Here is a 15,447-nt window from a genome sequence, read left to right on the forward strand (position 1 = left end):
TGAGGCAGGAGGTTCGCTTAAGGCCAGGAGTTCAAGACCAGCTTGGTTCACTGCAATCTTTGCCTCCCGGGTTCAAGTGATTCTTGTGCCTAGCCTCCTGAATAGCTGGGATTACAAGCGTGTACCACCACACCCGGCTAATTTTTGAAACCCTGTTTCTACAAAAAAAAAAATTACCTGGGCATGGTGGCACATGCCTGTAGTCCCAGCTACTTGGGAAGCTGAGGTGGGAGGATCACTGAGCCCAGGAGGTCGAGGCTGCAGTGACCTGTGATCGTGCCACCGCACTCCAGCCTGGGCAACAGAGTGAGACTCTATCTAAAAAAAAAAAAAAAAAAAAAAAAAAAAAAGGAGTGTCTCTGTCTCTGGTTCATGGTGGTGGGTGAGAAGCCCCAGAGTCCCATCCATTCAGCATCCCCTTGTCCTGTAGGGCACTTCTGTGGAACCTCAAGGCACTGGGGAACCCAGTGTGAGAACCATTTCCCCAACCTTCGGTTTCCCTGCATTCAGTGAATTCACTGGCTCTCCATGCACCTGGAGAAGGCTGTACTCAGGGCCTCATCTTATGGAGCTGGAGGCCCATTTCACACTCACAGGGACATAAACACTATTATCCAACCTGACAGTCTACATACACAGCATGAACAAACAGACTAAAAACCAGAGTCTACAAAAATGAATCTGTAGTTCATGGGCTGGAGTCCTCTGTGCTTTGCGATCTGTTCTAGGCTCCAGGCACAGCGAATTCCTCACTGTTCCCTGTACACATCCTGGTTGTCATCACAGGGCCTTTGCTCACGCCCCATTAACTGCGTGTGCTTCCCTCCCCATCTTTGCACACTCAATTCTGCCCTGTCCTTTCAGGCCTCACTCAGAGGAAGCTACTCCTGATTTTGTCCCCAATCAGGTGGGGATCACTCCTCCTTCATCAACCTTTAGAACATTTCCTCTTGCAGTAGTTATTTTTGTCAATAGAAAGCAGCAGACCGAGGAGGTCATGTGTGCACATTTGGGAGCCAGACAGTGTAGGCACCAATCCTGGCCAGGTCACTTGTTAGACGTGGTGCTCTGAGCCTCAATTTCCTCATCTGTAAGCTGGGATGATGACAGTTCCTGTTTCACAGGGGTGATGTGAAGATTATAGGAGAAAATGCCGTGAAGCCTCAGCAGGGAGCCTGGCTGCTGTTAGTGTTCAATGCATGTTAATTATTCTCTAGTATCACAGCTATAACTAGCATCGTGGCTAGTAACTAGTAGCACAGCTAGACTGGGACAGTCTTAAGGCGGGAGCAGTTTACAATCCACCTTTGCACCTCCCTTTCCTGGGAATCTATAGGGAGCTTTGGAGAGTAAGGGGATCTGGAAGGGGTTCCTCCTTCCTCCCCCTGGCTACACTGAGGCCTTGGCTTCCTGCCCTTGGCTGCCATCTTTCCTATTGATTCCTGCCTGCCTCTGTGCCCCTGGAGTTGTTTCCTGTCTTTTTGTTTTTTTTGAGACAGAGTCTCACTCTGTCACCCAGGCTGATCTCGGCTCACTGCAACCTCTGCCTCCCGGGTTCAAGTGATTCTTGTGTCTCAGCCTCCCAAGTAGCTGGGATTACAGGCGTGCGCCATCACACCCAGCTCATTTTTGTATTTTTAGTAGAGATGGGGTTCCACCATGTTGGCCAGGCTGGTCTCGAACTCCTGACCTCAAGTGATCCACCTACCTTGGCCTCCCAAAGTGCTGGGATTACTGGTGCGAGCCACTGCACCCGACATTTCCTGTCTGACATCCTCTGCCCCCTTGAACCAAGAAGGGATATCCTTGAAGGCCGGCCCTGTCCCCATCTGCCCACCTGTCCTGTGTGTAGCCACATCACACAGACACTGCCCCTGAGAAAGCATATGGGAGAGATCTGGGTCTCTTCCCAGAAGAGTACATGTGGCCCAAGCCTGCACATACTAGGTGCATAACATATATTTGTCCAATAAATAAATGTGTGTCCACCTCCATCACTGCTTGGCATATTAGAAGCAGGGGGAAGCAATGGAGATGTTCCATCAGTTCTAGGAGGTGGGTGTTATTATCATATCATTTACAGGTGGGGAAACAGGTTCAGAGTGAGGGGATGACTTAAGGACTTAGAAGGTGAAGCTGGGACTCAAAGTCAATGGTCTCCATATTCCTTCCCTTTTCTGGGCACATAGTAGGCACTTAGTGATTAGTGCATATTGATTCTGCAAAATGATAATGCCTTCATAGTAAGAATCAGGGCCCCCTTCCTCTCCAAGCCTTTGTGTCCTACTCAAGGGGCTGCTGTGAGGATCCCAGGGAACAATGTGTTGGGAAGGCCTGGCTCTTAGTTCGCTCACAGTAAATGAGAGCCAGGGTAGTTTTGGGACTCAGGCCTCTGCATGGTGGGTCTGCCTAATGCTCTGCCTAAAGTGAGGCCCCGTGGAAATGCTGCCCTTACAACCCATCTCTTCTACCACCTCTCTGGGTGCCTGATTACGGGAAGCACCTAGTGAGCCAAGCAGCATCGCTCACGGGACATGAAGACTCCCTAGTCTTGCTGGAATCACCGGGAAGCCCTTCAGTCAGCTGCCGGGCAGGATCTTTATCTATCTGTCCCGTGCTCTCCCTGCCACCCCGTGGCCTGCAGAATTATTTGCCCAGCAGACTCTACCACCCCAGCCTATGACCATCGATAGCATGCATTGATTAACATGTAGGTTTATTTTATTGATGATTCAGAAGGATATGCAGGCAGCATTCTGGAAAGCATCCACACATGATTCATTGGAACTTCACATTAAACTGTGCTTTTGAAGGATTTTTTTTACCCCATGGTAGTGGTGATGGGGGGAGGTGTATAATAAGCATTGCAAATCAAATATGGGGCTGACATTTTTTTTAACCAAGACTCACATGCATTGCTCAAGCCCATTGATCTACCAAACAAGCTGCCTTTCTCTTCTTCACTAATTAAAACCCAACGTCTCCCTTGAAGCCACACAGAGAGTTCCCAGCAGAGAATAATAACAGTAATGCTGAAATAACACCTACCATGTGCCAGGCACTAAGTGCTTTGCACATATTACTTTAATGCTTACAGCGACCCTATGAAAGAGGCACTGTTATGACCTCATGTTACAGATGAAGAAACTGAGGCACAGTTAGATAACTGGTCCAACGTCCCACAGCTGGATAAGAAGTGGTGCCAGGATTTGCACCATGATACCAAGTTGGCCTCTTCCCCACTGTGACACTAGTCATAGACCCAGTCAGCCTGGACGGTCCCAGCTCATGCCTAGCACCCTGGTGTAATTACTAACGGTGCCGTGGTTTGGCTGGTAGAATCTTTAGCCATGTTATATTTCAGGTGGTTCTGAATCCTACCTTCTCTCCTCAGCTGTCTCCTCAATTCTGTTTTCTCCCAATCCAGGCCATGCTCTCCTCAAGAGCAGGGAACCTTTCTGATCTTCCTCCCCAGCACACAGTACAGACCTTCCATTCTGCAGCAGGTCCACAGCCTCTCCTCCATTTTCCTTCCCTCTTCCAATCTCCTTGGGGTCTTGGTGGACTGACCCGTGCCCTCTGGTTGAGCATGTGACCAGGTCTGATCTATCAGCCCACTCCATCTTTAAGCTGCAGGGATTGGCTCAGGAATGGCCATGTGACTATAAGTGGCCCAGTGAGAGCGTAGTCTGGGATTTTTAATGGGGCGGGGCTTATGAGGAAAGGCCTGGCTGCCGCATTGACCGGGATGGGAGGATGTTAACCCGAAGCTGCCGGAGCCCCCATGTGCTAAAACCCGCCTGAAAATGAAGCCAACACAGAGGACAGCGGAAGTGAAAGTAGGAGAGGGAAGGACAGAGTCCTCTTGACAGCATTTGAGGTCCTGGAGCCAGCCGTGCCGGAGGCCAGACCTATCCCTGGAGTTTTCAGTTGCACAAACCAGAAAACTCCTTTTGTGCATAAGCCAGTTCGAGATGGGTTTCTGTCAGATGGAGCCCTCATGGATAAAAATGCTCAGCAAATACTGGGCCTAGATTCTTCTGTAAAAGCACTTTCAACTCACGGTCTACAAAAGGCAGAGAGTGGAAGTAGTACAGTTCTCATTTCACAGATGAGAAAACTGAGGTTGTCGGAGACTAAGTATCTTGCCTGAGGTCTCCCACATACTTAGTGACACAGCTGAGGCTGGGACACCTCACCAGTCATCATGTCTTCCCCTCCACCCCTGCATTTATTTGAGAAGGCAGCTGTGTTTCCTCAGCCTCTTGCATACTCAGGAGTTTTTCTCCTCTCGGCCTCATACCTGACAGAGTCCTGGGCCTTAGAATGGAGCATGGGCCGCTTCACATGAAGGCGCTGGAGTGGGGCAGCAAGGCTTTCCCACTCATCTCTGGCCAGGCAGTGAATTCCCCATGCCGACTCCGTGTCTGGGGAGCCCCCACGCATGACCCTGCCCAGGCTTCCGCCGAGTCTGTGGCTCCCCTGGCTTCCCTGTTGACCTCTCAGGGTCTCAGTGATCCTTGGGTTGACAGAACACAGAGGGAACTAGAATGTGGCAACAACACACGGAAGACCCCTGCCCCTGCCTCCACATCCTCCTGCTGCCCAGCTAGTGGCAGCCCCATGGACGTTCTCGTTCAATATCATATTCACGTGCAGCACAAAGTACCCGCCATCTCCCATGATCTGCTCTCTCGTCCTCCCTCAGCCCCGCTCTCTCCTCCACTTGGGCAGGCTGTGGGATTCATACAAAATTAACCGGAGGTTCCGTTTCACAGCACTCTGCAGTATCCAGTTCCCACTCCACCCTGCTGCCGCCCCATCTTTGTCCCCCTTATCAACCCCGCCAGGAAACATGCTACGTGGCAAACACCCAACAGCAAGCTATCATCGTCACCCTTTCTGACAACCCGAGGTGGGTGCAGGTGTCAGGAAGTGAGCAATGAGGGCTGTGTGTGCAATGGCTCAGGGCAGCGCAACGCTGGGCTCAGGGAACTGGAGCCATCTGCTCCATGGGTGACACAGGGTGTCCTGTGTCTGTCCCCAAGCCTGCAGCCTTCTGTCTCATGAAAGGAGGGGCACTGGGACATCCCCTGCCTCTTCTTTCTTCTTCCTTTTCTTCTTTCCGTGAATATTTCTTGAGCTCCCAGGCAATGCATCAGGTGTTGGAGACATGGTGGAGAATAACACAGAGCTCCTGCCTCTAGGCCTCCCGGACCACCTGGCACTAGTCGCCCATCTTTCCATGTCCTCTGATGGCATGTTAACTCTGCATTGGGCACCGCCAGTGTCTTGTCTGACTGCCTAATTCTTTCAAGGGGATGGGGCCCATGCATGTTTTTAAAAGAAACACTAGAGTATAATAACAATGATAATAAACACCACTCTGTAGGTGTCTAGGGTCTGCCTTGCACAGTGGCTTATCTAATTTAATCCTCACACCATTTGCATGAGGTGGGTACTGTTACTATCCTCACTTCACAGATAAGTTCATTGAGGTTCAGAGAGGTTAAATTGAACTCTCGCAGTGTCCCTTGAAGAGAAAGACACTCAGGAATGGAACTCAGGTTTCTGGGATTTTAATGTCCTTGGCTGAAACAGTGTGGAAGGAAAGGGAACAGTAGAGGTAAGAAGATAAAGGCGTTAATTAGAATGGAACAGAACCAACAGTGGAAGAGGAAAGGAGTGGAGCTTAGATGGGGGTAGAGGCTGCCCTTGGCCTCACAGCCTCACAGGGGGGCAGGTTTACCCAACAGGTGTCAGGAAAGTAGGGTCTCCAGGTGGGACATCCAGTACTGCTGGGCTGTGGGAGCCACACCCTGAGCTGGCTGCCAGCCGTGCCCTGGGTGAGCGCTGATTCCCTGTGGCCTCAAACCCCATTTGTCACTTTCAGAGATCTTTTTGCCTAAAATTAGCTGAACTTGAATGGGAAGGCTAATTTATGCGTGGCCTGGAGCATTTCCTGCAGTGTGACTCAGAGGCCAGCTCCCTACTCGTCAGCAGATTAGGGGTAGGGGGTGTCGGGAATGGTCAAACTGAGTCCCTGTGTCTGGAGCTGGCACAGCCCAGACCACGGAGCTTTTAAACTGGGGCTGGGGCTGTGCCAAGGATTTCTCTAAATCAGAAGATGGCCAAGCAGGGTGGGACAAATGCTCCATATGAGACAGAGTAAAGGAAGTGTCCCTTGGCCCCACCCTATTCAGGCCTTGTCCTACAGTGGATGCCAGAGGATTCTTCCCAGGTGGCCGTGCTTGGCTCAGGTCTGAGCATGGGGCTGAGTTCAAAGCCTGCTCTGACCTGAACTGTGGCAGTGACCTCGAGCCCTCATATCCCCCTCCATAAAATGGGGTAACAGCACCCGTTTCCAGGAACATGTGTCATAGAGATGCATAACAGCCTTGTACAAAGTGTTTCTCATGTGTGGACACTGGCCACCATTCCAACCTTTCCGGAGAACGTGCCCACTTTTTCCCGAGTGATGATACTCATCATGAAAACAATGACAAGAGCTGACATTTATTGAGCACTTCGATGCTGGGCACTTGACCTGATTTTATTCAATATTCACAGCCTATTTTATTGATGGGGAAATGGAGGTGTTTAGTTGCTGGGGCTGAATCCTACCACACAGAACTACCCGTGTGTCAGGGACTGTTCTAAGCTACTTCATTTTGTCCTCCCCCAGCCCTGTGAGGTAGTCACTATTACTATCCATGATTTACAGATGAAGAAACGGGGGCACAAAGAGTTTGAGTAACTTGCCCAGAGTCCCACAGCAGGCAAGTGGCAAAGCTGGGATTTGAACCTGGGATGCCCAAGTTTGGGTCTGTGGCATTATGCTCTTCTGCCTCTCCCCAAATCTCTTCCAGCCTGTACCTCCCAGCCCCCTGGGAGATGCTTCTAGGGACCAATGTGGCAGGAGCTGCAGGAAATCCTATGATGGGCTTCCCTTCTCCTCAGAGATCTTGGCCATCAGAGATCTCATTAGGTTCTCATGAATGACCAGGAGACCAAGGCTCAGAGAGGTCAGACGAAAAGGCCCAAAGGCACACGGCTGGCAGGTGGCAGAGCAATAGAGATGTCATTATTGTTTCCATTTTACAGATGAGAAAACAGAGTTCTTTACTTTTCACCTGAAGCCTCACTTCTTGCAGCATACCAGTTATTCTGTGGGATCCCCTCTAAGAAATGCTGCTGTAGGCCATACTACATGCTTTCCCTTCTCTTTCCTCCATAGCCAAGTCCAAACACCTTCCCTTCCATGAAGCCTTCCCTGACCTTCACTGCCCACCAGCCTCACTAGTGCTGAGTCCTGGGGTCCTTGCTGCACTTGGTCTTGATTATCTGCAGCTTGGGCTACTCAGCTGTCTGAGAGCTCCCCCACCTTAGGCTGGGACTTAGTAGCTGTGTCTCAGGGTTTTACCGGGTCCTCATCTGTGCCAGGCATGAGGTTGGGCATGGGATGTACAGAGAGAGCAGATAGGGTTCCTGTCTCAGCTAGGCAATACTCCCTCTAGCAGTACAGAGCGGGCTCCCAGGAACCAGCCGGAAATGGCCCTGCAAGGTTGCTGGAACTTGGCCGTGAGCTGCTCAACTTCCCAGCTCTGGGGAGCCTTTCTGGTGGGAGTGGTAGGTGGTTTTCTTAACTAGGGTCCACAACCCTGCTTTGAGGGGGTCTAGAAACCCACAAATAGTGTGAGCCACACCTGTTGCGTGTGGTTGGCTGATTTTCTGAGAGAGGGGCCACAGTGCCCATCAGCTTCTCCCCAGGGACTGGGGCTGAGAGACATTTAAGAATTCCTGATTTGAGGCAATCTCCCAGTCCCCAATCAACAGGCAAAGGCCACTTGAACAACCCTGCCTGCCAGCGTCCTCATGTGCCAACCTGATGGTGGAGGGGAGCACGGACCATTCTGCCAGGGATAAGTGAGCACAAGAAGCTGGGACCCAGAAGTCTCCAAGCAAAGCCGATGCCCATTTTACGGCCACAAGCAGCTGTTTTTAAGCCTCGTGCCAGAATCACACTATGAGGAAAGGTTACTTTCTCTATTCCCACCCTCCCTGCCAAAACAAAAAAATAGCACCCAGTGAGAAAAGGTGTTTCTAAACTTCTGCCTGGGCTCAGGCGATGGGCAAAATGTCAGTGAGAACAGTCAATGTGGGAAGAAGAACCAGTTTTAGCTTTTCTTTCTGAACCAGGAGAGCAGACAAAGAGGGACACAGACAGCTGGGAGCTGCTGGGTGTAGTGGAGTGTAGGCACATGTGACCAGTGGACTGCCAGGCAAGCCCTGCAGGAAATGCTGCCAGGGCTAGAGTCCAGCAGGGCCCAGGGCTCAGAGGACTGGACAGAGGAGACAGGCTCCTTTTCTGTCATGAAGGATAACAGTTCAGATGCTGCCTGCCTCCCAGGTGGTGGTAGATATCTGGGGAAGGACTTGACATCCACTTCTCCTTAGAATAATCATGGCTGCCACTTTGAGCACCTACTGTATGCCCAGCCACGCACTAGGCATTGTCAGGTAGGCATTGGCCCATTTTCCAGGAGAAGAAAACTGAGGCTCGGTGCAGCTTTGCACAAATGTTCAGGATTGGGAGTGTCACTGCAGAGCCTCACACACATGCCTGTAGGGTTAACGTAGGGAATGCTTCCTTTCCATGGTGAGCTGAAGGTAACTTGTGGCAGGTAACCCAAACCATGAGGTCTGGTACCCAAGCTGGGCTGACTTCCCTTGTCTCTGTTTTGAGGCAGAGGACCCAGCTTTGGTCCCTTCCAGAAAAGCCCCCAGGAGCTGAAACACACTGTAGAGATTCCAGGCCTGCTCAATTTTGGCAGTTGCAAGAAAGCCCCACTCCACCCTCAAGGCAGGACATACAAGGACATCTGTCACCCTTCCTATCACATCCATCTTCCTACTGCTTTGTCTGCCCAGCAACCCTAGAGCTGTGATGCCCCAGAGCCCCAGCGATCCCCAACCAGAGTCTGGATTTGAGAGACAGACTTGATTCCAGCCCAGTGGCAGGGAATTGGCTGCACATTAGTCATGCTATGGTTCCACACTCAAGCCCACACTAGGGAATTCCTGGGGCCTGGGGAAGGAAGGACCGGGCCTGCATGGTTGGAACCCCCAAATCCATCCACTGTGGGCTAAGCGGGGAAAGCAAAAGCCCCTCCTGGGCCTGGGTGCAGGTTCCATGTTTGTTCTACCCAGTGGCCCTTCTGCCTCTGCCTCAGAAACTAGTGCCTCCCATAGTAACAGAATGTTGAACTCGCCACTCTGCGGCTGTGGGGCTCCTTGTCTCCAGAACACAGTCTTGACCCAGCTTTCTTCCTGCCATTCTCTCTGCAGGTGGCTTGGGTCATGCCCAACCCCTGATGAAGCCCTGCTCCCCAGCCTATCCAGAGGGGCTGATACTCAGCTAGAATGCACTACAATGGCCATTCTGGCATTTCAGCCTTTCTCTGACACATCCCTGCTGTTACATATTATGAATATGGTCCCTGTGGCCAATTCAGATGGTGGCCACCTAGGCTGCAGCCCTGGGTTCAAGTCTTGAACACTTACCTTCAACAGGTGAGGTTTTGAGGCGCCGGCAGATGGCTTCGGTGTCCCCATAAGTCTCCTTGATCTTGACCACAGCCTCAGTGCCCCGCAGCTCCATGAGGGAGCGGAGCTCCTCCATTGTGCACCCGAACTCGCCCCCATGGCTCGACTCATTTCTTTGGTTTTTGGAGTAAAAGTCGCTGTTGGTCATGTCACCCATGTTTGCTGCGGTCCTTGCTCGGGCTGGGCCCAAGGGTCAGCGCTGGACAAGAGGCTGCCGGGTGATGGCTGCTTGTGGCTGTCCTCAGCACACCCTCACTGGTCAGCTGTGGCACCAGGCGGCCGACTCCGGGTCCCGGGGGGTGGGGGTGGCCGAGGCGGGCTGGTGACAGTGGTGGTGAGCTCCAAGAGGTGTCCTCCGGTGTGGGACGAGGTCCAGGGGCCGGAGGGGCTCAGGGCTGTAGACCCAGGAGTCTCCATTCAGTGGGGCCCATGCTGCTCCCTGGAACTGGCATCTACATGGTCAGGGGTGGTGGCTCCTGTGGGACAAGCACAGAGTGAGTGACAAAGGCCAGGCACTGGAGGCCACATGGGACAGGTGCTCAGGAAGGCCCCAGGCACACGCACAGCAACCTAAACAACACTGACTACACCCATGCCCCCTAACACACCAGCTCACACTGTAAATCCAATGCTACTAGCGCCAACCCAGGCACTCCACGATATGCCACCCTCAAGGCATAGCCCCATAACACACTCTAACTCCCTATTTGTGTGTTGTGCTGTGGAACACACTGGCTTCACAACACACACACTGTGTGTACACACATCCCCCGACATATACCTTCTGGCATGTCCTTGTGTCCTGTGCCACTGCCACACACACGTCAACACCCAGGCCCCATGCACCAGCTTTGAGCCATACAACTTAACCTCCCCACCCCTTTCCCTCAAGAATTGCTGTGCTCACAGGCCCTCTGAGCACACCCAGACTCCATTTCCCTCTTTCTCTCACTACCCTTAACATGTTTACACACGCCCCATGCCCAAATAATCTGGGACACTCTCCCCCAAATACACGGTTCCCAGGTTCCCCGCCCCTACAAATCCTCCCTCCACCCATGCCACCTGTGTCCACCAATACACTCTTCTCCCACATCCCTCCCCACTCAGGTCTCATAGGCATGGGGATGGGAGAAAGCCCCCACCTGCACCCACAGGCCCCCACCATATTAATCGAGGCCCTTGGCCTGGCCAAAGAAGCCAGGTCATACATAGTCACAAGAATGTCATTGAGCCCAGAGCTTGGTCCCAGTATGAGTTCAGGTCCATGGAGCCCTCACCTGGCAGGGGGAGGGGGGTCCCTATGGACCAGCACCAGGGACAGCGGCTTCCCGTCCCTCTCTGGAGCCCAGGAGGAGGTGGGAGCTCTGGCTTCTCCCTGCCCGCCCGGCCACCCTTACAGGAGTGCGGCATCTGTGGGGCTGCCAGGAGAGAATCCAATCCACCCCGACACCCAACACCAGAGGCCGAGGCCCCAGCAAGCGTTGGGTGACAAAGGGCCCCAGCTGAGCTCGGTTGGGTCTGGCACAGGGAGTGGCCCTGCCCCGCAGTCATGGACAGCTGGCCATCCTGGGCCCAGGACGGTGAGGGGAAGGGCTGAGAGAAGGAAGGCAGGACTGACCCCCTCCTCAGCTCCAACTCCTCCCCTGCCTTATCACCTTCATAACCTTTTCGTCTTTCACACATTTTAGAGCTGGAGGCATTCTAGGGCTAAGTCACTTTCCCAGCCGGGAACTTGAAGCTCAGAGAGGGAAAAAGCACTCTTCCAGAGCCGCACGGAGTGAGAGTGCTGAGGAGTGCAGAAGGAGATGGTCTCCTGGCTCATAGCCCTGGGCTCCTCCCCTTCCCCTAGGGGGTGCTCCCGCGTTTGTCTCCGAAGAGCCCTGGTGGGTGGGTGGACTGTGCCAGGCAGCCGCTAAGAACACAGTATCTGGCATTGGAGCGATTTGCGTTCAAATCCTGGCTGTGGGACCCTGGGCAAGTTCCTTCAGTTTTTGGAGCCCTGGTTCACTCATCTGCAAATTGGGGGCAAAACAGTCTCTCTTCCTTACCCCTACCCCTGACTACTTCCCAGTTTACTGAGAACTAATTATAAACTGTATTCAAATCCAGTGTGTTTCTGGATTTGGGGCTTCCCAGTCTTGGGTCACTGGGTGCTGGAGCCACAGGAGAAACCTTAAATGTCTTACACAAGGGACGCTTTTACTCAGGGATGCAGTAGGAAGATTATTTTTACACTGGGACTAACAGATCTCTTATGGAATAGAACATAAAATGGATGTGATACCTCAAGAAGAGGCACAGAGACATGAGACACCAAAGAAACTGCACGCTTGGTGCTCCCACCTACAATACTCAAAAGAGGCCATGTTCCTTGGCCATGGATGGAACACACACCATCCACAGAATCCATGAGTTTTGACCCCAACAATGTATTCCTCGGAGAAGCAGGTGAGGCAGGGACCAAGAATGTGAATAAAAACAAACAACAATACTCCCCTGCCATTTCTTAAGCATCTACTATGTACCAGGCACTGTGGGATGAGTTCTGTATCATCCATCCAAGGTAAATTCTATAAGGGTTGACCAGAAAAGCACTTGGCTCCTTGTAGCTACCTAGTAAACAATTGTTAAATGAATAAGTGAATGAATGAAAAGCAAACAGACACTGTCTCATTCTGTGCAACACTGTGAAGTGGATACTAGAATTACCTCCATTTTATAGACCAAGCGAATGAGGTTCAGAGGGGTGAAGTCACTTGCCCAAGGTCACACAGTGGGGAGATGCCACGGAGTGGAAGATCTTTTCAACCTTAGACTTTGGACTCTTGTCCACTACCCTGTAAGAAGGGCCTGGCAGGGGCCTGGTCTAGGATGCTGAACCTCTCTGGGGAGAGTGTTGGCATTTGGGTTTGGGCCGAATGCTCTCCTCCCCCTGCTACAAGCTAGTGCAGAGCCTCAATACGGCTCCCTCCCCAGTCTAGGGCCAGCCACAGGAGGCAAGGAGAGACCTCTGAGAACATGTGGGCCCTTGTTCAGGGTTGGATGAGGCACTAGGTCCGTGCAGGGATGGGGCGGGAGCTTTTACATTAAGCAGTGCTCTTCCTGCTGCCTGCTCAGTGTAAATGTGTTTGGTGTATGTTCAGGAAGCTGGGTAGAGAAAATCCAAATGGCAGGAGTAAGACAAGGATAGAGTGAGGCAAATGGGCTACAATTGGGGCAGAAGGAAGGAAATGAGGTCAGGGGTCCTTCAGGCCAATGCAGTGGCTGGGGCTTGTAGGAGAGATGGGTCTCAGATGCTGGGGGAAGGCTGAACCCCGCTGGAGGGGTGAGCGCTGGGGAGGTGATTTGACTAAGAACTTTCCAGAACAGGCTTTGCTTACTCAGGGAAAAGAATTGAGATGAGGAGATGCAGACCTTCTGTCCAGAAGGAACTTGGGACTGACCTGGAGCCCCAGGAGGCCTCAGTCCTTGACGCTTAAGCAACAAGTCTGGATTGGGTGAAGGCAAAGCTGGTGAACATTTACCACCCACACCTGCACTAAACTTACTGGCAGTAGAAATCACCTGTGATTCTGAGCTAGTCACCTGGATTCTCTGTCTTAGCTTCAGCATCTATAATTTGGGGCTACTGATATATAACATTGCCTGACTGGCACATGATAAGCATTTATTGAGTGCTTATTAGGTGCCAAGCACTCTGAGTGTTTTACAGAAATATCTATCTCAGAGACGCTGCAAGGCGTTATGCATAGGGCTCTGGAAACCACTCATTCTGAGTTCAAATTCTGGCTCCTTCATCTCCCAGCTGAATGGGAAGGAAATTAACTTTGATTTCATTATCTTACAAAAAGCAGAGGGGAATAGGAGTATCTACCTCATAGATGTTATGAGGCTTAAATGAGTTATTTCGTTTAAAATACTTAGAACCAAGCCCAGAACATAGTCAGCACTCAAATTATTGTGATTATTATTGTCAATCCATAAAAGCGCTTTATGAGACCTATTATCCCTAGAACATATGAAGAAACTGAGGCCAAGAGAGATGAAGTAAATTGCTCAAGATCACAAGATTAGTGAGTGGTGGATCTGGGATTTGAACCTAGGCAGTCTGGGTCCAGAGACACATTCCTAATCAGGATGCTTTTCTGCTTCCCCTGGTGAATCTCCCTCATGAGGTTCTTATGACACTTAAATGAAGTGCCATATGTGAATGAAAGTGCTTTGCAATCCACAAGGGACTTTCTAAACCCGAGCTGCTGTTTTCTATCTGTGCCTGTGCTACCTGCGGAGTGGCTTACAGGCACTGATAATTACGTCTCTGACAGTACAAGCAAGCTATGAGAATCGTTAGCAGCAATTATATCTGTGATCACAACAGTAGGCATGAGTTAGTGGGCTACTGTTGATTTTAATGACTACTGTGATAAGATGAAAAATGATCTTCAACCATCTATCCACCCACCCACCCATCAATCCACACACCCACCCATCCACCTGCCCACTCACCCACCCTTCCATTCATTCATCCATCCATCCACCCATCTACCCACCCATCCACTCATCCATCCATCCATCCATGCACTCGCTCACTCACTGACCCTTCCATCCATTCATCCACCCACCCACCACCCACCGACCCATCTACCCATCCACTCATCCATCCATCCATCCACTTACCCATCCAACCATCCATTCAATGATTGTGTTTTGGGTACTACACAGTGCCAGGCACTGAACAATCCAGAGAGGAACTCTGCCCTCTACGAGCCCACAGTGAAGAAGAGAGACAACTAAATTAGTGATTTCTATGACTTGAAGAGTTTGCCATCATGGGGACCCCCAGGTGCTGTGGACACACAAAGCAGGAAGACCTGAACTGGCCCGGGGTAACCAGGAATGCCTTTCCTCTCAGCTCCAAGTAGGGATTTTTTTTTCTTCAGGTAAAGAAGGACTTAATAAAAAGATGAATCATGAAGAAACTGAAATACACAACTGTCTGCTAGTAAAAGGTGCAGAAGGAAAACAGTGTGAGCCAGTATAGAGGGACAGAACTCTGGGATAACAAAATCAATTAAAAATCAGAACTCCACCCTGAAGGCGACTGATCTCATACTTCCTTCTCTACCTCTTCTGATGTGGCTTGTTCCCTAACCCTGCTTCATCTCATGGGTGCAAACATGAGGTCACCCCTTTTCTGGGCATTTTGTTTTTTCATTCCAAGCTGTAGAGCCCACTTTGGTGCTTGCTCTGACAGCAAGATTTGCTGGAAAAATGTGAAGTCCACCAGCACAAAAGCTACTTGTATGATATTATACAAATGATCTTTTCACAGATTGACAGAACTGAGGACCCCATAGTTTGCCTAGAATACCTCAGATGCCTGACTCCTGCAGATGTGCCATGTGTCTGTTCAGAACACTCTTCACTACCTGGGCCTTTGCCTCCCTAACAGCTGCTGTCCTGTTCAGCCTCAGTTTCCCTTCCTTGGAAGCCTTTCCTGACCACCTAGACTGCATAAATGCTCCTGACTCCCAGGTGCCTCCCAGATTGTAGTACACTTCACACTGTATTGCTTGAGCCTGCTTAACTGTTTTCTTTCCCCAGGATTCTGAGAGCATCATGTGGGCAGTTGCTATGTCTCTTCTGTACCTAGTGCAGTGTCTGGCATCCAGAAGGCACTCAATAAATATTTGGTGTTGGGTCTACTGCCTGTGGAAGCTGTGACTTTAGATAGGTCCTCAGACCTCAGTTTGCTCATCTGTAAGATGGGCTAGTGATTCCTACCCTGCCTACCTTAAGAGTTTTCTGGGGGGTCAGGAAAGATAACAAAATCAGCAG

At 51.2% G+C, this 15,447-nt stretch overlaps 1 protein-coding gene across 17 annotated transcripts in view; it reads right to left on the minus strand.

Annotated features, from left to right (window-relative positions):
- ATP2B2 (ATPase plasma membrane Ca2+ transporting 2) overlaps window positions 1–15,447 on the minus strand; it is a 384,094-nt gene that overhangs the window by 115,758 nt on the left and 252,889 nt on the right. For all 17 annotated transcript variants that reach the window (NM_001438036.1, XM_017006484.3, XM_006713175.5 and 14 more), the window contains one exon: window positions 9,565–10,082. In NM_001438036.1, the coding sequence (NP_001424965.1) occupies window positions 9,565–9,763 (199 nt within the window). In that variant the 5' untranslated portion in view covers window positions 9,764–10,082. The remainder of the gene's footprint in view (window positions 1–9,564; window positions 10,083–15,447) is intronic.

Source organism: Homo sapiens, chromosome 3 (assembly GCF_000001405.40).
Source record: "Homo sapiens chromosome 3, GRCh38.p14 Primary Assembly".
Taxonomy (NCBI): domain Eukaryota; kingdom Metazoa; phylum Chordata; class Mammalia; order Primates; family Hominidae; genus Homo; species Homo sapiens.